The following is a 24,438-nucleotide window of genomic DNA, read 5'->3' as shown; positions in this document are numbered from 1 at the left end:
ATGATGAAGTATTTATAGTAAAGCTATTAATGGAATGGTCACTACAGGGGAGAGGAGAGCCTAAATATAAATGAAAATTCTGAGGCTTACATGTGTTAGTCCTTAACAGTGAAAACTTCACTGCTGTCCTAGAGGATAAAACAAAAGGTAAAAAGTCTTTGAAATGTGACCAAATGTATTCTATGCTAAAACTGACATTTTTCTTTTAAAACCATTTAGATATTGCCTAGTAAGATACATTTGTTTTTACTACTGCTGTATCCATGTTGTAATTATGAGAATACATTTGTTCCTATAACATGTTTATTTTTAATGTATATTAAGTAAAATATTATTTTCAGCATCACACTGTGTGTAGGAAAGATATTATTTTGGATGAGTGCTACAATCACTGTGAAAGACTCACAGCCAAGTTGAACAGATCAGAGTGTTGTCAGTGTTAGAGTGGCACTAACCGAAGTCTTATTTGAAAGGTGGTTTTTCCTGAATAAGCTTTAAGTCAATGGCTACTCATGGAAACTTCTAATTTTTGTTGAATCTGTGGCAGTCCACAAAACTTTTTTAAGTTTATAGAAATTTTTTAGTGAATATTTTGTTTCCTAAATTTTGTATATTTTTCATTGTTAATCCTACCAATTTTCTAGATTTCTGAATTTCATTTGTAATTTTAAGCAGTTGATCTCTTCACAACTGGAAAAATACTTTTAATTCACTCTGACTTTAAAGTAAACCTGTCCACGTTTCACATGGATAATTACACCAGCGATGAAGACATAGATGAAGACTTTGACACCCAGCTCATCATTCAACAGAGTTTGCAGGATATTTATAAGCCAGGAACAGCACAACATGCACCTAAGGATGAGAGGTAATGGTTTTCTCATCGGCAATATAGTATTAAGTGTTGTATTCAACAGCTGACACTTGTCATTAGCTTAACTCTAGTGTTGTGACAAAAACAGGAGGGTCAGAATCCAAGGAGCTGTCAATTAAATATCTGTAAGATATTATGCCTAACTAGACAGGAATAATCTGGAAATAATTCAGAATTTAATTAGGCAATAAAAATATCTGAAGGAGGTTAGCAGCAAATCTGGGTGAGGTGATACAGACTGGAAATCAGAAGAAAGAAAGGAGGATATGAAGGGCTAGAGAAAAACTAATACATCTTGTCTTTGGGAATTGAAGAAATGCATAAATCCAACCGGGACACATAGAAAGTTAGTTATCTTCAACCTTAGTAGGGTAGGTGGGGATGGGGTCCAGTCTTTGATCTACTCAAATCAAAAGGAGGAATTACATAAACTTGAACAAGGCTTCTGAAAGTGTAGATTCAGAGTTTTGTTGGACAACACTGAAAAAGGACCAGTGGGACCCTGTGTGGGGTGTAAGAAGAATCGTCCTGGATATGGCACACCTGCTCACACGCTCGCTGGCCAATCAGCAACCTTGGTCTCCTGAGGCAGTAACCATCATTTTTTCAGGGGTGATAACCCAGTTTACTTGGGATGGTAATCTCTATTTGCCTGCTGGATGTAAAACTAGAAAAATGTCTTTTAACCCCAAGAGATTTCATAACTAAATAGAGACAATGAAGTACATCAAACCTATATAGTATTTTTAAAATGTAACAAACCATGGAGTGATCACTATGTGTCATGTTATTTTAAGCACTTCATAAATACTAACTTTTAAATTCTAATTCTCATTACCTCTCTATGAGGTAGGTCCTATTATTATCCCTACTTAGAGAGGAGGAAAGTGAGGCACAGAAAAGTTAAGTGGCTTACCCAAGGTCACAGAACTAGTAAGTGAAGAGCAAGGCAGTCTGATTCTAAAGTCTGTGCTCTTAGCCACACACTATTCCTATACTTTTGTGTTCAATTTAGGATTAGTTTTTAAAATAATCTTTAAATATTTAAAGTTTTGTAAAGAAATTAGCCTTATTAGATTATCTGTTATATTAACCTTATGATTAAAACCTTAAATTGCATAATTGAGTAACTGACTTTGAACTTACAATTTTAGGTTGAAAGGTATAAGAGAGTTGGGCTAAGGAGAGTATTGAAATGTTTCAGAGAAACTGAAATTGACTGTGGTTATGCATTTACTTGATTAGATTTGCAGGAAGTGTATGATACTTAGGCAGGCTTGCTGATTTAGTCAGGTACTTGAAGGAATTAGAAAACTAGAACATACTTGTGACATGTGGAGTAATGGTCCCATCCAAAGATGTCCTAATTTCTGGAACCTTACATGGCAAAGGAGAAGTAAGGCTACAGATGGAATTATGGCTGCTAATCAGCTGACTTTTAGATAGGGGGTGTACTCTGGATTACCCAGGTGGTCCCAGTGTAACACAGGATCTTTAAGTGTGAAAGAGGGGGAGCCAGGAGAGACAACTTGGGAGATGGCAGTGTTAAAAGGACTAAGCCCAACAATGCTGGCTTTGAAGATGGAGGCAGAGAGTCCACCAGCCAAGAAATGTGGGTGGCTTCTAGAAGCTAGAAAAGGCAGAGATAGAGTCTCCCCAAGAGCCTCCAGAAGGAACAGAGCCCTGCTGACATCTTGATTTCAGTCCGGTGAGGACTGTTTTGGATTTCTGAACTACTAAACTGTAAGATAATAAATTTGTTTTATTATTGTTGTTTTAAGCCACTAAGTGTGTGGTTACTTCTTACAGCAGCTATAGAAAACTAACACAATACTAAATCTATGAATGCAGGTTTAAATGTTTAAGATAATGTAATTGACCAAATTGTAAACAGGACAGAGTGTCCGAGGGAATTTATTCTCCTCAACCTGGGTTCGTTAAATAATTAGAGTGGAAGGTGGCCGGGTGTGGTGGCTCATGCCTGTAATCCCCGCACTTTGGGAGGCCGAGGCGAGCAGATCACGAGGTCAGGAGATCGAGATCATCCTGGCTAACACAGTAAAACCCCATCTCTACTAAAAATACAAAAAATTAGCCGGCCGTGATGGTGGGCACCTGTAGTCCCAGCTACTCTGCAGTGAGCTGAGATCGCACCACTGCACTCCAGTCTGGGCGACAGAGACAGACTCCATCTCAAAAAAAAAAAAAAAAAAAAAAAGAATGGAAGGTGACAATCCTTATTTGCTAGGTTTTAAAATAAGTTTCATAAATTGAGATTTAAAGCCTTAAATAATAAAAACATTACTTAACTGCTAATAGTATTTCTGAGCACACATTCTGACTGTGAATATTTTTTAATACTGACACCATTTTTATTTACTATTTTTTAAAATAGTTTCTGCTAGAATCGTTGACATTCTATAATGGCCATCAAATTTTACCATGAGATAGTGTGACATTTCAGTCATAGGCAGGCTTGATTCAGTTCAGCCAACGCTGATTAAGGGCCTACTGCAATCCAGGCTCACATAGTCCTTGCCCTAAAGAAGCTAACAGGCTAATGCGGAAGACAGATAGAGTTAGGGAGCTTCCCTAGAATTTTGTTAAGGGCCACATTACATTTTACAAATAGAAGTATTTCTATTATGCCTCAGTCATTGCCTCCTATGAAAGTTCATCCCGGATTAACTACTGCTACCATTACCCTTTCCTTTTGATTTATATCAGATAACAGTTTTTTCTCCTCAGTTTTGGAATTACATATGTATTTTTTTCTTTGCAGTTTGCATTCCTTTTTGAGCGCTGACTATAAGAAGATAGTTGAAACAATAGAGAAAGTTAAGTACTCCTATCCCCTTTAACTTGTGGTAAGATGTGACGGTGACATTGGCTGGATGCAGTGGCTCACGCCTGTAATCCCAGTACTTTGGGAGGCCAAGGTGGGTGGATCGCCTGAGGTCAGGAGTTCGAGACCAGCCTGGCCAACATGGTGAAACCCCCTGTCTCTACTAAAAATGCAAAAAATTAGCCGGGCATGGTGGCGGGCGCCTGTAATCCCAGCTACTCGGGAGGGTGGGGTAGGAGAATTGCTTGAACCCAGGAGATGGAGGATGCAGTAAACCGAGATTGCGCCACCACACTCCAGTCTGGGCAACAGAGCGAGACTCCGTCTCACAAAAAAAAAAAAAAAAAAAAAAGGAAAGATATGATGGTGATGGCTGGCAGCATTTCCCCTCGAAGCTCAGGAAGCCTAGAAGCAGGAGCTCTTTGCTTCATTGAGCTGAACACTACAGGGGTCCACAGCTGATTGTCAAGAGTCTGATGTAGGCTTTTCTGGGAGAAAATACTTCAGCTCAATGAAGCAAAGAGCTCCTGGGTTCCTTCCTAGACAGAGCTGTTTTTTGTAAATAACAAGACGCTGGGGGTGTTCACATGCCCAGGTGCGGAACGCTACATGACCGGCCTTACTGTCTGTCATATGCCATTTGTCTTTCATAAAAGGTGGTGCTAGAATTCTGTTGTCTTATGCATTAACTTTGGTGGTAGAATTCAGGAAGCAATATGGGCTTCCTTGTAAGTGTGCCAAATGTGAATCTGTTCTCATTTGACTCGTTAATAGGTAAGGAAGATGCATTGTCACACTTAACCAAGTACCATTCCGCATTTGGTGAAGCAGATGAGATAGGCTGGATTCCTCTGCATAAGGCTGCAGTGCAATTAAATAGGAAAATTTTGGAAATAACCCTAAGCGGTAAATTCCCTTTGATTCTTCTTGATGCTTCTGAGAGATAAATTTAACATTCATTTCTATATCTTAATTTGTGTGGTATGATGAATTTATTTCAGCTTCAGACCCCAGTCTGTGGGAGCAAACCACTCACAATGGTGAAACGCCACTTTTTTTGGCTGTCAGCAGTTGCCTCTTAGAAAATGCCACTTTTCTTCTTCTCAATGGCTGCAATCCAAATGCTAAGAATTTCGAAGGCAATTCTCCTCTTCTTGCAGGTAAATGAATACATTGTTTCTGAAAGAGTCTGTGGCACTGAGTCTCCTTCATGCCCCCAGGTTTCAAAGGCAGCTTTTTATGCATAGTTGCAGCACTGTCACTCTGTTCCCAACTGACCAGACATGGGTACCGACCCTCCAGAAGCTTTCCATAGGCTGGCCTGTGAGGTGGCCTGATGCAAAACCTCTGCCCAGTTAAGAGCAGCTCATTTCGCATGGTACCTTCATCAAGCCAGTTAATTCTGATACAAAAAATCAGAGGGGAGCAGAATTACCTCATGGAGCAGGGGTGAAGGGCAGGCAGCTGAAACAGAAGAGTTGGTTGAAAACTATTAAGAAGCAGATAGTCAGATCTCTAGATCATTCCTGCCCAACCCCAGCAGAATCCTGGAGGTTTATTCTCTGCCTAGCTTAAACAGAGAGTCTCTGGACCACGGAATTTTAGGTGAGGGTGGAGTACTAGATTGAAAACACTGGAGGAATTAAGCAAACATAATTGAGACTGCCCAGCCCTCCTCCTAGAAGGCTGGCAGCCAGGCCCTTACCCTCCAGGCTGCCGGGGGTTCTCTGGAGGAATCTGACCAGCCCAAGAAGAAAGAGCTAAAGATAGTGACACTGGGGCTTTCCCAATAAGTGGCCCAAACATATCAACCTGTTGTTAAACCTACAGTCCACAAGCCCCACTCTCTGCTTAAAATTTCCAACCAGCTTTTTAGTCTCCAATTTTTAATTATGAGCAAATAGCCAAAGGCTATCTGAGGAAAATCTTCAACAAATAGAGTTAAGCAACTTTAAGATTATTTAGGAAAACTAAAATTTAAAGGGAAATTGTCATTAACTTCCTCAGAGAAACCATTTTAATAAGAACAAGATGTTAGCAAAATTAGAAAACAAAATATTCTTGAAAATTAAAAATATGAGCAGATATTTTAAAAACCAAAACAATGCTGGAAGATGGAGTTCAGGAAAGCTTCCAGAAGAAGAAAATAAGAAATGGAAAATAGGAAAGAAGTGAAAATTAGTTGGATGATCCAAGAGTAGCAACATGTGAATAAGAGGAATGAGAGAACAGACAAGATGGAGGTGGTATATGGCCAATGCAATAAGTCAAGAAAATGATTTCCTAAAATGAAGGACAAGTGTTTCCAGAATAAAGGGCCACACTAAGTGCCAGCTCAATGAACCGTAAAAGACCCAATACCCTCGGCACTTTGTTTCTAGTCTTAGTCTTAGAGCAATGAGAGAACTTTCTGTGGCAAATTATAAATGGTTATTAGCAGAATTCATACTGATTCAGCACCTCAGCAGCTAGCAAGGCTCCTCGTACACATTTGATGCCAATAATTAGTGATTGAATAGCGAGATGGATAAAGTTAGATGTTTTAGGATCTTGGGGGTCTAAGTATTCTTCTCTAAATGTGAGTTCATACTATAAATGCAGAAAAGCCAATTATTAGAGAATTTTGTGTAACAAAAAGTTCTTTAAAATGTAACATGTAGAAATAAATAATTCAAGGATACATGTGAAAATGTTAAAGATCATCTCAGAGGTGGAATTAAACTTTTCTACTTACATAGCCTCTTTTAAATTATAATAAAAAATCATAAAAAGCTGAAAAAAAAAAAGACAAGTCACTAGGGAAGACTCACAAGTCACTGTGGAAAGAAGTTTCCACAGACTTCCTGAGAGAAAAAAAGGAATACATAATATACAAAAGATGAAAAATCAGAATGGTTTCAGACATCTCAATGGTAACTAGAAGCTTGAAGTAATTGGTGGTGAATAATAGTTTTACAGATTCTGAGGAAAAAATACTTCCAACTTAAAATTCTATATTTGCTCCAACTCTCAAATCTGACAGTAGATTAAAGACATAAAAGATATTTTCAGACATAGGAAATCTCAAAAACTTTCTTGTTCCCTACTGTTAGGAAGCTAACGGAGCAAATGTTCTACCAACATCGGAGTAAAGCAGAAAAACAAAAGTTTGGCATCCAGAAAACAGAAGATCCAAGCCAGGTGGGAGGCAAATGAGATCCCTAAGATGAGGGGAATAACGATCTTAGGATGACCAAACATGACCAGGCACTGAGGTCCAGATTGGAACAGGTCAGGAGGCCCCAGGTAGAGGCTTCTTCAAGACCATGGTGGGCTAGGAATGACATCTTGAAGGGAGATGTAGACAGTTTAGAGAGTTTGGGGTGGAATTAATGATAAATTGGAAACTAAGCAAATGAAACATAAGACAAGTATTAACTCCAGGGAAAACAAAAAGATGTGCATAAAAGGAAATGTAAATATGGCCTACCTTTGAATGACATACATGAAGGTAAATATTAAATATTTAACAAAAATTATGCTACAAAAATATTAGGATGGTGGGACGAGAAATGTGCACATGTGGTGGGGACAGGAGGAAAAAAAGTTAAATCCTCATTTTCTATGGTAAGAAGTCATTAAATTATACCAAAACCAAAAATCAACAAGTATCAATACAAGCAGGTTACTTAGAGACACGGGCATGAAGAGCAAAGAATCAGCTAAAGGATCCCTCTGGAGAAGGAAAAAGATTGTAGGGAAAGAGTGATGGACTTCACAGTAATTGGCTCTTTAAGTTCTGTACATGTATAACTTTTATCAAAATAAAAGCTGAAAATTAGGCTGTGCACGGTAGTTCACACCTGTAATCCCAGCACTTTGGGAGGCCGAGGCCGGCCGGTCACCTGAGATCAGGAGTTTGAGACCAGCCTGACCAACATGGTGAAACCCTGTCTCTACTAAAAATACAAAAATTAGCAGAGCTTGGTGGCAGGCACCTGTAATCCCAGCTACTAGGGAGGCTGAGGCAGGAGAATCGCTTGAACCAGGGAGAGACGAGGTTGCAGTGAGCCAAGATTGCGCCACTGCACTCCAGCCTGGGTGACAGAGCAATACTCTGTCTCAAAAAAAAAAAAAAAACAACACTGAAAATTAAAGAGAGACCAACAGAGTACTGCCAAAAATTAGGATTTGGGGTCCCTTCATGGTTTGTCCCAAGATGCTAACGCTTTGCATTTTATACAGAAAACACTGAGCAGAAAAGCCTTCTCTGAGAAAGCACGCATAAACCATAAAGCACCCTAGCACTGTATAGTGAAAAGAACTCTGGGTCAGATCTAACCTCTCTAAACCTGTTTCCTTGTCTATAAGATAGTACTTGTCTTGTGCGTAGAAAAATCACATATGTAAAAACCGTGAGGCTGTGAAGCCTGTTGTAACAACGGTAGAGCTAGTTTTCCTCTCTTCACTTCAGCCTATCTGGTAGGTCAAATGATTCCATTTCTGTGGCACCTAAACAGCATGTCCCTATTGATAGGTCATGGAAAATGCCGGGTTAAAAAGTTAAGCAAATGCATTGCAAGATTCCTCAGAGACTTCAATATACCAATGTACAAAGTGAATCTTGAAGAGGGTGATAGAATATATAGTGCTGGCTGAGATTAGTGGCTCACGCCAGTAATCCCAGCCTTTGGGAGGCTGAGGCAGGAAGATCACTTGAACCCAGGGGTTTAAGACCAGCCTGGGCAACATACCAAGACTGCATCTCTACAGAAATTTTTAAAGAAATTAGCCAGGCATGGTGGCATATGCCTGTAGACCCAGCTTCTTGGGAGGCTAAGGCAGGAGGATTGACTGAGCCCAGCAGTTCAAGGCTGCAGGGAGCTATGATCGTACCACTGCACTTCAGCCTGGATGACAGAATGAGAGCCTAAATATATATATATTTACATACATACACACACACACACACACACACACACACACATACACAGTGTTCCCAAGCCTTTTATTATTATTTTTTTAACTACAAAATCATTTTCTTTACATTTCCTTACAGAAACTTAAGGGGCTTTCTATACAACATACTTTGGTGTGTTGCCAAAGTGTGGTAATGCAGAAATGATAGGCCAAAACTATCATTTTCTATGGCCTCAACCACTCCCACCAGATATGCATATTTAAATTGTGTTTTAGTCATTCATTTTCTGGGGGTAGATTCTGTTTTTGTTTTTGTTTTTTTTTTAATTTTTGGCATGTTTCAGAGTCTGGGCTGTCTTTTGTTTGTTTTTTTTCTTATTTTAAAGCAGCTACAAACATTTCCAGGACTATACTGAATAATTAAGTTCCCATTTTCTTGAAGAATAAAGATAAGTGAAAAGTTTACATTTGTGTTTCAACCACATAAGCAATGAATAATTACTCATGGCTTACAGAAAAACATAGTCCATTGATGTAAAACATTCTCAGTAAGTATTATTTGACACATGCCTTACTTTACAATCTGTTTCCTAAACACAGAATGTTCGGGTCTGGGAGTGGGTGGGAAGAACTCCTTAAGAAAGCCTGAGGGATACTTGCAGATATGCTACTTTGGGCTTAACTTCCCGTTGAACATGCCCACCACACTTCTCATTTCCCAGCTGTGCTGCGTGACTGCTATGACATGGCTGCCTTGCTGATCAACTATGGAGCAGATGTCAATCTGCGTTGTGCCAACGAGAGGACAGCTCTCCACGAAGCAGCCAAACTGGGCAGAGAGGACATGGTGAAGCTTATGCTGGTTTCTGGGGCACACCCTGACCCACAGAGCACGTATGGATTCACTCCTCTTGCTCTTGCTGCCCAAAGTGGACACACTGAAATCATGGAAATGTTACTGCGGAAAGGCAAGATCTTCTGTTTGGTCAGCACACTAACAAAGGGTAACATGATCCAGGGGTTCTCCTCTTAATGGAGAGCTTCAAAATAATAAAAGTTAACATTTAAGCCTAATATAAATGTTTGATAAAAATTATGGGTTAATAGTGATTACTGAGAAGCCTAACATAAAGACTGAATTTTTTATTAGGTCTGACATAATTTCCCTAAAGTTACTAGGATGCAGGTTACGTTTACTTAACATTCCCTCACTGTGCTAAGATGATGATGGTTTTTTAACCTTTTTGTGGTGTTGTCCTTTTCTAGAATCATAAAATCAAACACCCTGCAACATACTCTGCACATTACCTCTGCCTAAGTCCAAATCATGAGGCAGTTTAATCTGTTACCAAATGGCTTTAGATGTTAGGAAATTATTCCTGATTTCTTCTCTTTGGGTCCCAGTTTTTCACTCTAGTAATAACCAAAACTCCAAGGGAAGGGGAAAGCAACTTAAACTTATTGGGTACTATCTAAGCAAAAGCATTAAACTACCCATGTTGCCTCATAACCCTTTAAAAACTCTGTGAGGTAGGTATTATCCTAATTTTATACTTGAGGAAAGTGAGGGTCAGCCATGGTACCAGCTGCAGGACTTCCCTTCAAACATGCCCCCTCCCCTATCCCCAGCTCTGTAGCTGTGGGCATTTTGAATCCTGGCTTAACTAGCAGGGACCCTTGGCTCAGAGAACTTTGGCCTTTACTGTCTTCGAGGAGAGCTCATTGATGACACTGTTAGATGAAGCAAGGTAGGATCAATCTAAAGCTTTTTTTCAAAAAAGCAAATTTTTACCAAGATTTTTAAAAGTCTCAATAATAGAATTATCTTTATTCTCCTCCCTGTCTAGAAGTATTATTTTGTTCTTTAACAATACACAGTCCTGGTCTCCAGTATTCTAGATGGCAGAGACTCATATTTAAAAACAACCTTGTGCTTTTTAGACATTATCTAAATCTTTCCTGTCATATAGGGGAGGCTAGTTGCTAATCAATGGCCATAAGACATTTTAAGTAAGATGTTTTAAATGATCAATATAAGAAATGTCTAAAGTCATTAGCTGGAATAACAAAAATAAACATTGGAATCTTTCATCTACGAGGAAAGAGTAACCTTTTGTATAGATCATTGATTAAAATACAGAGAAAGAAGCAACAGATGTTAAATCCTTTACCCTGCAAAGAAACCAGTATCAGTTGACCTCAGTGAGTAAGCATTTCCTTTAAGTGACTCCTTACAAAGTAATTTGCACCAAGTGACACAGATGGTACATCACAGAGCCAGTATTTCAAGGTTCATCTGATTCCAAATCACATTATCACCCTGCATTGCTAGAGTGGCAACATGGCATCATAGATATAAGCCCTGGGTCTAGAATAACTGTATATGAATCCTGACTACCTTGCTTACTAGGTGTGCATCTTTGGGGAAGTCACTGAAACTCAATGAGTTTCTTCATCTTTAAAATGAGTATGTTAAGCACCTACTGCTGGGGGTTGTTACAAAGTTTAAAAATTATTATACACATAATGGAACCAGCACATAGTGGGCACTCAATAAGCAGAGGCTTATTGGACTTCTAAGGCATTCTTGGAATGGGGTTCTTGGGCAGCCACTGGACCCTGATGACTCTTATGGAGTCTGTGTTAAATTAAAGTCACTACATCTTTTTTATATGAGCTTCAGAATGCTCTCCGTAACTTTTGTCCATTCAAATGCTACTCTTTCTTCAGAGCCCATTTTACTGGGAACACTTCCACAACTGACCCAAACTCTTTTCTCCTTCCTTCACCTCCCAGCTCCCCTTACAACCCCAGCCCCCCTTACAACCCCAGCCCTAGATCTTCTAGAAGACCTTTTGCCTGTCCCTGTACTCTTATTATTCACATCACTCACATAACACTTAACATACAGGGTGTAAGTTAAGCATTCTTAATCTGAAAATCTGAAATCCAGAATCTTCCAAAATCTGAAACTTTTTGAACATCAACATGATGCTCAAAAGAAATTCCTACTGGAGCATTTCAGATTTCGGATTTCTGGATTTGGGACTTGTAAGTATAATGCAACTTGTAAGTGTAGTGCAAATATTTTTTTTAAAAACCCTGAAATATGAAACACTTCTGGTCCCAAGCATTTTGGATAAGGGATACTCTGTACTAATAACTACAACAACTTACCTCTTTGGCTATTGGCAGTTCCTAACCTCAATTAAAAACAGTTACAGTGTCTCCTACTATGGTCCCCTACGAACAAGCTAAAACAGAACAAATGCCCTTTTCCACCAAAACAGTATCATTAGATGGCATGGTATTATAGTTTGATAGATTTGTTAGTACCATCCTATATGTGTGTTATGAGTTAAGTGGGCTTTTATAGGCTGGTCTAGAAATAAAAGCAACTTTTATAACAGTATTTCTACTGGAATTTTCAAGTTCCAAACAAATGGACATCAAATTACTTCAAAAACTAACCTACTTATAATTTAGAAACTGCCATTTTTTTCTTCCCCAACTAGTTTATAAGTTACTTGAGAGCAGGAGGTATATATTCTGTTACTTTGATTCTTGGTGCTTTGCTAGAGTGCGTGCTCACTAATTGCTTTTTGGTGATGGGGATATATTTTTAAGATTGCTCAAGAAATACAGTGGAAAATAATTTTTGCATTAACAAGAGTCTTTCTCCTCTTAGGAGCTAATGCTCATGGTCAGGCCTCTGATTCTTCTTCCATCTTACTTGAAGCCGCAAGTGGAGGAAATCCAGATGCTGTGGCTCTCTTGCTGGAGTATGGAGCTGATGCCAACATCCCTAAGAATTCAGGCCACCTGCCCATCCATGTGGCAGCTGACAGGGGCCACTTACTGTTAAGTTCAATTACATTATTATAAATAATAAAAACAGTAATAGCTACCTTTTATTTTGTGCTGCTTCTAGGAACTTTATAATCTTTAATCACTGATCCCACAATCTAAACATACTTTTTTTTTTTTTTTTTTTTTTTGAGATGCTGTCTCCCTCTGTCGCCAGGTGCTGGGTCTGAACCATAGACCCTGGCCAAGTGACAGATGAAAGTACTTAGACATAGGTATCCAGTGAAAGAGTGGGCTAGGGGACCAGGCTGCTCAAAGAAAGAGTTGTAGCAGCCATGGCCCTGACAAGCTGGTGCTTCAGGCATTTATTTAGTACAGGTTTAATGACAAAGGCTTTGAGTCAGCACATCGTGTGAGTAATTAACACGGTTCCCCCCCAACCCCCGCTGCCAGAACAGTCCTACATGTGGATGATTAAAGGCCAGTTCTGAGGCCTAAGTAAACTAACTTATCTAGATCAATTCCCTTACACTTCCTTGTAACCTACTCTGAGAGAATTCAGCTGCCTTCAGCCAAATCCTTTCCTGAAGCTTTTGCAAAACCTCCCGGCCTTCCAAGAAGGTGTGCTTCTTTCTATAATTTTAATAATATTTCCCACCACGCTGACTGAACTCCTGCAGCCAGGCTGGAGTGCAGTGGCATGATCTCGGCTGACCGCAACCTCCGCCTCCCGGGTTCAAGCAATTCTCCTGCCTCAGCCTCCTGAGTAGCTGGGACTACAGGTGGGCACCACCACACCAGCTAATTTTTGTATTTTTAGTAGAGATGGGGTTTCACCATGTTGGCCAGGATGGTCTCAATCTCTTAACCTCGTGATCCGCCCTCCTCGGCCTCCCAAAGTGCTGGGATTACAGGCTTGAGCCACCACCCCCAGCCCTAAACATACCTTTTAAAGATGAGAAACTCTTAGGAGAATTGCTTGAACCCAGGAGGCAGAGGTTGCAGTGAGCCAAGATTGCGCCACTGCACTCCAGCTTGGGCAACAAGAGGAAACTCCGTCTCAAAAAAAAAAAAAAAAAAAAAAAAAAAAGAAAAACTCTTGACCAACTAGGAAGAACTAGAAATGGCTGTTTAACCAGGCATCCTCTGAAGCCACCGAAGAGATATAAAACTTTTTTCTCAGGTACTTAGACAATATGGGAAGCCTCAGGCCTCTGAGCTAATTCTGAATTTTATAGCTTAGACGGTAATTCCATTCAATTTTACTTGGTATCTGAGCTTCTGGATGAAGGAATTATGCTTTTTTTTTTGGTTGTGGGTTCTAAATGCCCCCTGAATACTGATACTATCTAGTATTGCTATAAAACAATAATAAACAAGTTAGTGCTACATCTTAAAAACAATGTTGAAATGCATTTTGAAATTCTTTCTCAGAGCTCTAAAGATACTGATTCCAGTTACGGATCTTGCTGCCATTAAGCAGAGTGGGATCAGTCCAGTTCACTGTGCAGCAGCAGGAGCACATCCTCAGTGCCTGGAACTCCTCATCCAGGCTGGATTTGATGTGAACTTCATGCTGGATCAGAGAATTAACAAACACTACGATGACCACAGGAAGTCAGCTTTGTATTTTGCTGTATCAAACAGTGACCTCTCTTCAGTCAAGCTGCTTCTGAGTGCTGGAGCTCTGCCTAATCAAGACCCGGTTAACTGCCTCCAGATAGCCCTCAGGATGGGCAACTATGAGCTGATCAGTCTGCTGCTAAGGCATGGGGCCAATGTCAATTACTTCTGCAGAGTTAACCCTTTACATTTCCCATCAGCACTGCAATACACTCTGAAAGATGAAGTCATGCTCAGGATGCTGCTGAACTATGGGTATGACACAGAGCGATGTTTTGATTGCCCACATGGAGACAAAGTCCATCCTTCCTATACTGTTGAAGGCTGGACATCTACAGTTATCAAAGATACTAAGGTAAGTCCACAGTATTGGCTGTATTCCCTTACAGTCATTATTTGTGGCCCTGGAACTATGGCAATAAATAGATTACATCCACTCTCTCCAGAGGCTTGGTTGAAGAGATCCTAGTATAATAATTATATGATAAAATAATTATGATAAAATAAACACAATAGTAGAAAGATACAACAGGAACAAAAACAGTACAGAGGTAAAAGTGATTTAACTCTGCCTAGCAGTGTGAGGAAGTTTCATAAACGAAGCAACTGATTAAATGATTTATTTTGATCTTATTTCTGATGAAAAAAAGAATCAGGATAAGTACAGTTGACCACTACCATCCCTTCCCATTTTTGAGACATTTTTCTCTCTTGGCTTTCATCACACCACATCTCCTTTGACTACTATGCTAAACCATAGATACTTTGTGTTTTTCATTTACTTTCCTAATTCTGATTTTGTTTCCCTCAGTTCTGTGAAGTAATAACTTTGTCATGGCTGCAACATCTCTCTGGAAAGGTTGTTCGAGTGATGCTTGATTATGTTGATCAAGTTCGGATCTGTTCAAAGTTGAAAGCTGTGCTCCAAAAACAGGGGATCTGGTCAGAAATACATTTTATCTTAAGTAAGTATCCTTCTCATAGAATGACTTTTTACAAAAGTACTAATTGTATTCTTATTTGGTTGTTTTAGAATTAGAACACCCTTCTCTTCTGGTTAAAAGCTTGACTTAAACCAGAAAAATACTATTCCTATCTTTAAAAATGTTACTAACTACACTTAATTTGTATTTATTACCTTTTCCAAGGAGACAAAATCTGTTAGGTAACTACTTATTATATAGATAGGTAATACTTTCATCCCAATCCACCTAAATCATGGAAACAACACCATGGACACCGGAATGAAAAGCTAATATCATATGGCAATAAAAACAAGGATGAGAAAAAGCTAAGAGCCATGTCTGTAGAGGGTATCAAAATGACCTTCTTCAAAGCAAATTCTTTCAAAGTAGCACGTAAGACAAATTAATAATTTATTTCATGTTATTTCCCTTTGGGTGGTAATCTTCAGTTTCTACCCTGTCCCTGAGGGGGCTAAAACACACAGATTTTTTTTTTTTTTTTTTGAGACAGAGTCTGTGTCAACCAGGCTGGAGTGCAGTGGTGCAATCACAGCTCACTGCAACCTCTGCCTCCTGGGTTCAAGCGATTCTCCTGCCTCAGTCTCACGAGTAGCTGAGATTACAGGCATGCAGTCACCACGCCCAGCTAATTTTTGTATTTTTAATAGAGACGGGGTTTCACCATGTTGGCCAGGCTGGTCTCGAACTCCTGGCTTCAAATGATCCACCTGCCTCGGCCTCCCAGAGTGCTGGGATTACAGGCATGAGCCACCCCGCCTGGCCACATGCAGATTTAAGAACTTCAGATCTCACAGGCCAGATCCATGATTGATGCCAGTCTTTGGATTCTAACTTGACATGGCTCTGGAACCATATCTACAACAAGGATTGCAATAAGAACTGAAAAACTGTTTCCCTATTGACTTTGCCATTTAGTAACAGCAAATGAAATGCTATCAAATACGTTTGCTAACAAAACCCTAAGATACTAAAAAAAAAGTTCTTTTTCTCTTTGGATAATGTGCCTTTTCTTTTTAGCAAACCCTCGCTCCCTAAAACATTTGTGCCGCCTAAAGATCCGGAAATGCATGGGACGGTTACATTTGCGCTGCCCTGTCTTCATGTCATTTCTTCCATTACCCAATCGTCTAAAAGCATATGTCCTTTACAAAGAATACGACCTTTATGGACAAGGAATTTTTACAGGAACCTGGTAATCAAACCATTCTAATGGAAAAGGTATAATTTTGCAGCTGTATTCCTTAAAATTTCACTTATGTATGATTCATATTTTTTGCTTTACCCACCAACTAAAATCTCAATGCAGTCTAAGTCCTTTAAAAAGTAGCTCTGCTTGGGAGGCTGAGGCAGGAGGATTGCTTCACCTTGGGAGGTCAAGGCTGCAGTGAGCTGTGATCACGCCACTGCACTCCAGCCTAGGTGACCGGAGCAAGACCCCATCTCTAAAAGAAAAAAAAAATTTTTTAAAGTAGCTTTGAACATAGCCTCTCAACATATAAATGACTAGCATTCTCTAGGCAGTTAAAAAAAAAAAAACCCAAATAGTAAAAATTTCAATTAACTGAAATACACCAGTTTTAATTAAGTGTATAAATCCAATGTCTATGTGCTCAAAAGAATAGATGCCACTTCTGACAAGTCAAGATAACTCACTGCAGTATCTTTTTTATAGAGAAGTATATATAATACAGTAGTCTCCCTTATCTTCAGAGGATACGTTCCAAGACCCTCAGTGGAAGCCTGAAACCGGGGTTAGTACAGAACCCTAAACATACTGTATTTTTTCCTACAGTTACGTATCATACAATGTTTCAGTCATCATTGGACTACATATGTAATGGTGGTCCCATAAAGATTATAATGCTTATTTTTACTGTACCTTTTCTATGTTTAAATATATATTTACTATATAATTGCCTATTCAGTACAGTAACATGCTGTACAGGCTTGTAGCCCGGGAGCAACAGGCTATATAACACATGGCCTAGTGTGTAGTATACCATCCCATCTAGGTTTGTATAAGTGATTCTATGTTTGCACAATGACAAAATCACCTAAAAACACATCTCTCAGTAGGTATCCACATCTTTAAGCCAGTTGTTAAGCAACATACAACTGTACATGCATGCCCTACAGTGTGGATACACTGGACAGAGGGATGACTCAGGTCCCAGGTGGGACAAGGCAGGATGGTGAGAGACTTCATCATGTTACTCAGAATGGTGTGCAATTTAAAACTCATAAATTATGTATTTCTGAGATTTTCATCTTAATACTTTTTTTTTTTTTTTTTTGAGATGGAGTCTTGTCCTGTCACCCAGACTGGACTGCGGTGGCATGATCTCAGCTCACTGCAATCTCTGCCTCCCGGGTTCAAGCGATTCTTGTGCCTCAGCCTCCCGAGTAGCTGGGATTACAGGTGTACACCACCATGCCCGGCTAATTTTTGTATTTTTAGTAGAAACGGGGTTTCATCATGTTGGCCAGGCTGGTCTTGAACTCCTGACCCTCAGGTGATCCGCCCGCCTTGGCCTCCCAAAATGCTGGGATTACAGGCATGAGCCACCGTGCCCAGCCTCCTTTTAATAGTTTTGGGCCGCAGGTAACTGAAACCACACAAAGGGAAACCAGCGATAAGGGGCCTACTGTACATTTCAGTGATTGGACTGAATATATACTTACCCCAGTACATGACTCAGGAGTTTGCTGTTCTTGTGGGAAAGTCCCAATACCAGCTTAGTGTCTATTACTGTTTCTTTGTAGAGTCAAGTACAGAGGTAGGGTAATTCATTTAATTGAAATAGAACCCTCAATTGAAATTTCAATATTGAGAAATGTGTGTCCCTTCTTTCCACAAAATCCTGGCTATGGCTGACCATTTACCGGTTAATGTGATCACTGGAATTGGAATTACAAGTGTTTTCAAATGAATGATGGCTTATGGTTTCTGTATTGAACCTAGCCTGATAATGGACATGAAGAGGCTCACCGATGGCAGTTACGTTAAATTTTTATTTCTGTATATTTCAAACTGCATGTAAGTATAGGTTCCTTTTTCTGAGATGGAGTCTCGCCCTGTCACCCAGGCTGGAGTGTGGTGGTGCAATCTCAGCTCACTGCAACCTCTGCCTCCTGGGTTCCAGAGATTCTCATGTCTCAGCCTCCCGAGTAGCTGGAATCACAAGAGTGTGCCACCACACCCAGCTAATTTTTGTATTTTTAGTAGAGATGAGATGGGGTTTCACCATGTTGGTCAGGCTGTCTCGACCTCCTGACCTTAAGTGATCTGCCTGCCTTGGCCTCCCAAAGTGCTGGGATTACAGGCATGAGCCAGTGTGCCAGGCCTGTAAGTATACATTTCTATGTGTGGAAAGTGAGGAAAGAAACTGAAAAAGACATTCATTCAACCATACTTGTGTCACATTTAGAAGCCATATCAACAGGGAAAACAGGTAGAATGATATCGTCCATTTTCACTACAGCCCAGTCAGCTATGGCCTTGATGTTTACATGTTTAGTCTTGGTACTTTTTAAAAGAATTAGATAGTCCATTCTAGGGAAACTGAAGCTATATGATTTTTTTTCTAGTGTAGGGATTAATGGCTATATAGACTATTTCAGTAAGCACAGACTTTAAATTATTTTTATAGTTTTTTTACATTAAAAAATTTATATAGCTGACATGAATAGTTATTTTTTAAATCAAACTGGTAAGTGAGTGGTAGATTATATCTTTCAATATAGAAATATATTTAGGCTATACATGCACTTATATCAGATAAATTATATAATTCTAAAGTTAATTTCATCTATTCCCTGTACCTTCTAAAAGTATATATACATTTCTATAAAATCCAAGACAAAACACTAAATCCCAGAAGAAAGTAACTAATTGACATAAGAAACTATAAAGAGCACATGGGATGAATATGCATTAGTATTGAAATTACAAATCCAAGCTATACTGTGGTATGCACAATAACCTGCCCCTGTAAATTAGAGGAATTTCTGTAAGTAGGACCAAACAGTAGCAAGTATACGTCAATTAATGAAGTCTTTTTCCTTTGCTAAAAGAAAAACAGTCACCAGTGATCGATTAGTTTGCTTCTATAACAAACTTTTCCCAATAAAGTGACTTTTTTTTTTCATTTTAGCTGCTGTGGAATTATAGTTGGGCTAGCTGTATAATTTATAATGTCATAACAGCTTAAGAAGTCCATTGTTTTACAAACATCTGAAATTACTTTGAGAAATAAAGTTCAGAGTATCAAATATTTCATTAAAAAACACTGTACAAAAATCATGGACTTTATTATACATTAAAAAATCTTCTAACAACTTTTTTCCTGAAGCCTTGTCAGTATATACCTATTGTGACAAAATGAAAAAATAAGTTCTCCACCCCACATGTATACCAATACCATGATCACATAAAGTCGAGTTCTTCAAATCCAATTCTAAAGTGAAACATTGCATGATTTTGAATTGTACACTGCATGATTAATAGTATCAGTGAAATAAGAATCAATTCACTTACATTACAAAATCACCAAATATACAAAGCAATTTTGCATATTAGTTACAACTTAACCCCCAGTCTCATATTAACTGAAGTAAATTTCATGAGTGAAGCCACAGAGATTGGTTAAAAAGTATAATATAGTTCCAGTTTCAAATCTTTATGTCTTACTAGTTAATGTAGAAAGACAAAATCTCATGGGAGAAGAGTAAACCAAACTTGCTAAAAATAAAGGGTTGCTTTCTACAATTGGTGTGTTTAAGTATTTAAAATACAATCTGAATGCTAAGAGGCTGTTTCAGAACCAACATTAATAATTTCATTTTAGGGCCGGGCACGGTGGCTCACGCCTGTAATCCCAGCACTTTGGGAGGCCGAGGCGGGCGGATCATGAGGTCAGGAGATCGAGAACATCCTGGCTAACACGGTGAAACCCCGTCTCTACTAAAAATACAAAAAATTAGCCGGGCGCGGTGGTGGGCCCCTGTGGTCCCAGCTACTCGGGAGGCTGAGGCAGGAGAATGGCGTGAACCTGGGAGGCGGAGTTTGCAGTGACCCAAGATCACACCACTGCACTCCAGCCTGGGCAACAGAGCAAGACTCTGTCTCAAAAAAACACTTTTTTTTTCATTTTATTCAGGTGGCAGGTTTTACAACATACTAGCTCTTAGGATCTCTCAGCATTAATAGGATTCAAATTTTAAATAATATGGTTCCTAGATATAATGCAAAATTAACTCAAATGCCTTTACCATATACGATTTTATCTTCCCTAGGATGCACATCCTACTGACCTTTTCCCAAGTATAGTGGAAACACATTTACCACCCCTAGATTGTAGAGCCTGAGGATTCTTTTGAAATTAAACAATAATCATTGCAGATGTGGCAAAAACTAGACTAGCTTTAGGGACTCTGTTCAAGATAATAGCTTTAATCCCTGGTTGGCAAGTTCTCAAAATTTTTAAAGGTAGAAGGAATAACTGGTTTCCTATCTACTGACTTCATTGCCATAGTTACAAACATACTGTTCAAATAGGTAACAGAATGCATTGTAGAAGTAGGCAGGCTTAATATCTTTTCTTTTTAAAAAGGAGTTTTGTTGATTTCTAACACCATTAAGTGTAAGTCTGAATGTGAGAAAAGATATCCCAAAATCGAATCCAGTTACCCTCAAAGCATCTCAGAACTAGAAGGGATTTCAAAGGAGGGTAACAATCAGCTTTACCACTAGGCAGAAACCCATGGGCAGCCTTTAAATAACAAAAAGAGCTTATTAAAACAGATACTTAAATCTCTGCAGTAATGGAATAGTTCATATAGTTCAACAGTAATGGAACAAAAGCTGAATCATCTAAAATTGTTAAACCCACTCATAACTTCTATTTAGCATTGGAATGCACTTCGATCTGACCTATGGAGATGATGGGTTTATTATTGTAGAAATTCCTGTGAACATGACTTAAAACGAACTACAGGTCTGTCCAGCATCCCTAAGTCTGCCAGTGCCTTAACTCTAGCCTACACTATGACCCAGGGTGCTGATAAAGGGCAGCACTTGCTACCATGCAAAGCACCAGCTTAGTAAAGCTGCCTCCTAATGATGAACACCTTCCTTGTAGAGTAACAGATTTCATCTGAACTAAGTGAGGTGACAATTTGTAGTATAAACAAAAGACTTAATGGAACAGAAAGCTCCAGTCTCCAAAAGGTCTTAAAAACAGGACTTGCCATGACTACTTAAATGCTGGCAACAGAATAAATTCCAACTTTAACAAAACAAAAGAACTGATACACTATTGTGAAAGCATTCCTTTTGGTAAGCACAAAATAAACTTTTTATCAAAAGTATTTCATAAATTTCTACTTTTTTACTGTATGTTTTGGTAACATAAAGCATCAGTAAATAAACATTACACCCATTTGGCACATGGATAGAAGGAATATCATGATCCTATATATCATTATCCTATTCCTACAGAAAACAATGTACATATACAGTGTGAAACAGCTGAGTTATATTTTGAGACCTAAAACAGATGCCATTTCTAATGCAGAACTAAGAAGAAAAAACTGTATATCAAAGAAAAAAAAAGGCTTTTTCCCTTGTAAAATTATTAAAGTCTTAGTGGCTAACCTCTTGAAAAATTTGTAAATGTGTGACTATGTAAAGTATTTTACCCACTATATTAACTTTGTATATATATACTTTTTCATGTGAAACACATGAAAACATAATTTCTATTAGCAGTGTTAAAAGTGATTACAGAAAAAAAATTAAGGTTTAACATAAACAATAGGCAGTAGAGAAATGTTATTTTAACCTTGGCACCAGGTTAAATCCTTCCTTGGTCAACTTCTCCTATACTCTACTAGGCATTCAATTCATTTTCAATCTTTCACAAAATTGGACCTTTTACTCATTTGAAGAGTAGACATATTTACAATAATTAGTGCAAATTATTCTATTATCATACATTAGTTATTTGCCTTTGTGGATATAAAGTGGTGATTCAGTACTTTATCAAAACATGGCATTATGAAAATACTGGGAATATATCAGTCTGAAATTTAAAAGATTACATTTTCTAAACTAAACTCTGGGAATTTTTACTTTAAGCATGAAACATAATTGTTATAGAACTTCTTTTGAAATGTCACTTGACTTTCAATAAAAACTATTTCACACAATGCAGAAAATACAATGTATCATTCCATAGCAGTATCTTTACTTGTCAATCCTAATCTAAAATGTATTGAACAAAAATCTTTTAATAAATTCCAATATCTTATTTTTAACCACTACTGCTCTGCAGCAGTAATTGAAGTCCCAACCTGAGAACTAAGAATGTGATAATAAAATGCCAAGGGCTCTATCAATCTTGAACTGAAGACACTTAAGCTTCTTTCCTACTGGCATCAAGTGCAGTACATTAGAGAAATGTGAGCAATCCCAGAAAGTACCCTGAGATCAACAGTACCACCTGCCACAATTTGAAACCTTAACTGTAAAATCTCTGTTCTAATTATTTTATAAAAGTTCTATTGCACATTTAATATTGTTAAAATATTTGCAAACTTGTAGAATTCTCTGTATAAAGGGCTTTAAACTTATTCAGCTAAATGCTTCCTCATCACCAGCAAAATGTTCCTAATGAAAGAAAAGCATATCCATGAATGTCTAAGCCTGAAGAATAAATGATTTCTTATGGACACAGCCAATTACAATGCAAGAATTAAAAGTTCACAATTTGACGGAAAAAATTCTTGAGCAAATGTAATTCCTCAGCAGTCTGCTTCAGGGAGATGAGCAGGTTTCCTTTAGATGTTAATACATAGTACATTATGTTTAAGGGGGAAAAAAGATCAATGCAAACCTAAGTCATCAAGTTCAATCTTTTTTTTAAAATGTAGCTACAACAAATAAGCAAATATAAAGCTTAATCTCCTCCTTGATATTTCAACATAGTTGTTACCTTCTGCCATTTCACCATAGAAACTGTCAAATTCCAAGGGGGAATATCTACCAAAAGTATAAGCTTATGCTTCTGATTCTCTCTTCTTTCCTCCTTCTCCCAAATCACTCTCTTCTGACTGGCTACTGCTAAGGACAACAAACTGCCCCTCACTACTGGCTTGGTTTGGTCTACTGGAAGCAGCTATCAACCGACTTTGTTCTTCCAAGTCCTAGTGGAAAAGACAAAAAAGAAACTAAGTTACTTGTCTGCAGTCAAATGGCAAATTATGCAGTTAAGATACATTCTTGAGAGCCACTTCTTCTGTCATAAATATGTATGCATACTTCTGACAACTTGATAAAAAGAAAAGCTACACCCAAACAATACAACACCAAAATGAATTTTGGCACCATCCTATAAAAGCCAGCATTCAAACTAAAATCTAATATTTTATCTTTCTTTTTTTATGACCAACAACCAAATAAAGCCCATCATCAATCATCTCTCACTATATATTATAGTAAAACCCTCGAAAGGGATCACCCCCACACTCCTTTCCCTTCCCCTCTCCAGCCCTTTTCTCCATCCCTGTCCAATTCATCTTTGCTAAATCAGGTGTCACCTTCCCTCAGCCTCGCCTATCAAGAAAGCCTCACTTCAATGTCATCTTTGCCACTTCCCTCTTCTTTGTCCAGAGAGCCAGCCCACAGCCAATGCTTATTGATCTGTTCTAAGCATCCCAGCTGTCTCCTCTTTTCTATTCCTACTGTCAATCTACAACCCATAACACGCTCTTACAATTTCATGGATCATTTAATGCATTCTTCAAGTTTTGCTCTGAAATTTGTCTTTTAAAATTATTCTGTTGGATGGACAATGATTTGACACTCCTGGCAATATTAAAAATATACATTTCATTATATATTTCATATAACATATATATTTATTTATTTCCCCCCCATAGAAGGCAAAATGGCTTTCAGCAATGGCAGTTAAGTCTACACAGCCTCTCAACTGCTTTGACAGAGACAACCTCCTCTGAAATATTAAAGTTCTGGTATATTTTTGAAACAGTCATATTACATGTCAACGTAACTATAATGTAAACATCATATCAAAAAACAGATGTGACCCTTTTCTGCTATGGTATGAATCATCTGTTTATGAAGTGGCTGAACAAGCAGAAACAGCCCTTCATTTGGAAATTCAAATCTGAAAGTCATAGTGCTGAATTAAGTCTTCACAAACAACACATAAAGATCCAGACATTAGGACTGTATACCTTTTCAATCTGTTTTTGTTTATTGAGTTCTTTCTGTTGCTTCTCTTTTACTCTCTCTATTTCTTTTTGTTTTTCTGATGCCCTACGATCCTAAAGAACAGATGAATAAAACTAATGAATTAAATATGAAATAACTTTAAATTTTA

At 38.4% G+C, this 24,438-nt stretch overlaps 2 protein-coding genes and 1 long non-coding RNA gene across 7 annotated transcripts in view, besides 1 other annotated feature; 1 reads left to right on the top strand and 2 right to left on the bottom strand.

The window, feature by feature from the left end:
* Window positions 1-94: 94 nt before the first annotated feature.
* On the top strand, window positions 95-24,438 carry ASB14 (ankyrin repeat and SOCS box containing 14). Of its 4 annotated transcripts, NM_001142733.3 has the most exons (11): window positions 95-147; window positions 676-868; window positions 3,657-3,712; window positions 4,494-4,625; window positions 4,721-4,879; window positions 9,341-9,586; window positions 12,307-12,478; window positions 13,860-14,403; window positions 14,860-15,013; window positions 16,052-16,252; window positions 23,162-24,438. In NM_001142733.3, the coding sequence occupies exons 2-10, from the start codon at window positions 747-749 to the stop codon at window positions 16,228-16,230; spliced, it is 1,764 nt and encodes a 587-aa protein (NP_001136205.2). In that variant the 5' UTR covers window positions 95-147; window positions 676-746; the 3' UTR covers window positions 16,231-16,252; window positions 23,162-24,438. The 4 variants fall into 4 exon arrangements, with proteins under 4 accessions (NP_001136205.2, XP_016861226.1, XP_016861225.1 ...); XM_017005737.3 differs by lacking the exon at window positions 23,162-24,438 and having other exon boundaries at window positions 727-868; XM_017005736.3 differs by lacking the exon at window positions 23,162-24,438 and having other exon boundaries at window positions 673-868.
* Window positions 12,772-12,972: a silencer, noted in NCBI's record as "peak4664 fragment used in MPRA reporter construct". NCBI's record gives its function as "represses an SCP1 promoter by STARR-seq MPRAs in K562 erythroleukemia cells {active_cell/tissue: K562}" and the evidence as "EXISTENCE:reporter gene assay evidence [ECO:0000049][PMID:32103011]".
* On the bottom strand, window positions 14,653-23,214 carry LOC105377102 (uncharacterized). Its single transcript, NR_135535.1, has 3 exons — window positions 23,029-23,214; window positions 16,321-16,476; window positions 14,653-14,987 (listed from the first exon to the last, which is right to left on the bottom strand). It is a non-coding gene; the product is annotated as an uncharacterized LOC105377102 (long non-coding RNA).
* The window catches only part of APPL1 (adaptor protein, phosphotyrosine interacting with PH domain and leucine zipper 1), a 45,743-nt gene continuing 40,613 nt past the window's right edge, over window positions 19,309-24,438 (bottom strand). For both annotated transcript variants that reach the window (XM_011533583.4, NM_012096.3), the window contains 2 exons: window positions 24,293-24,382; window positions 19,309-23,239 (listed from right to left, as the gene is read on the bottom strand). In XM_011533583.4, the coding sequence (XP_011531885.1) occupies window positions 23,093-23,239; window positions 24,293-24,382 (237 nt within the window). In that variant the 3' untranslated portion in view covers window positions 19,309-23,092. The remainder of the gene's footprint in view (window positions 23,240-24,292; window positions 24,383-24,438) is intronic.

Source organism: Homo sapiens, chromosome 3, assembly GCF_000001405.40.
Source record: "Homo sapiens chromosome 3, GRCh38.p14 Primary Assembly".
NCBI lineage: Eukaryota > Metazoa > Chordata > Mammalia > Primates > Hominidae > Homo > Homo sapiens.
Note: the sequence above shows the minus strand (reverse complement) of the source record. Positions and strands in the feature narration are given on the sequence as shown.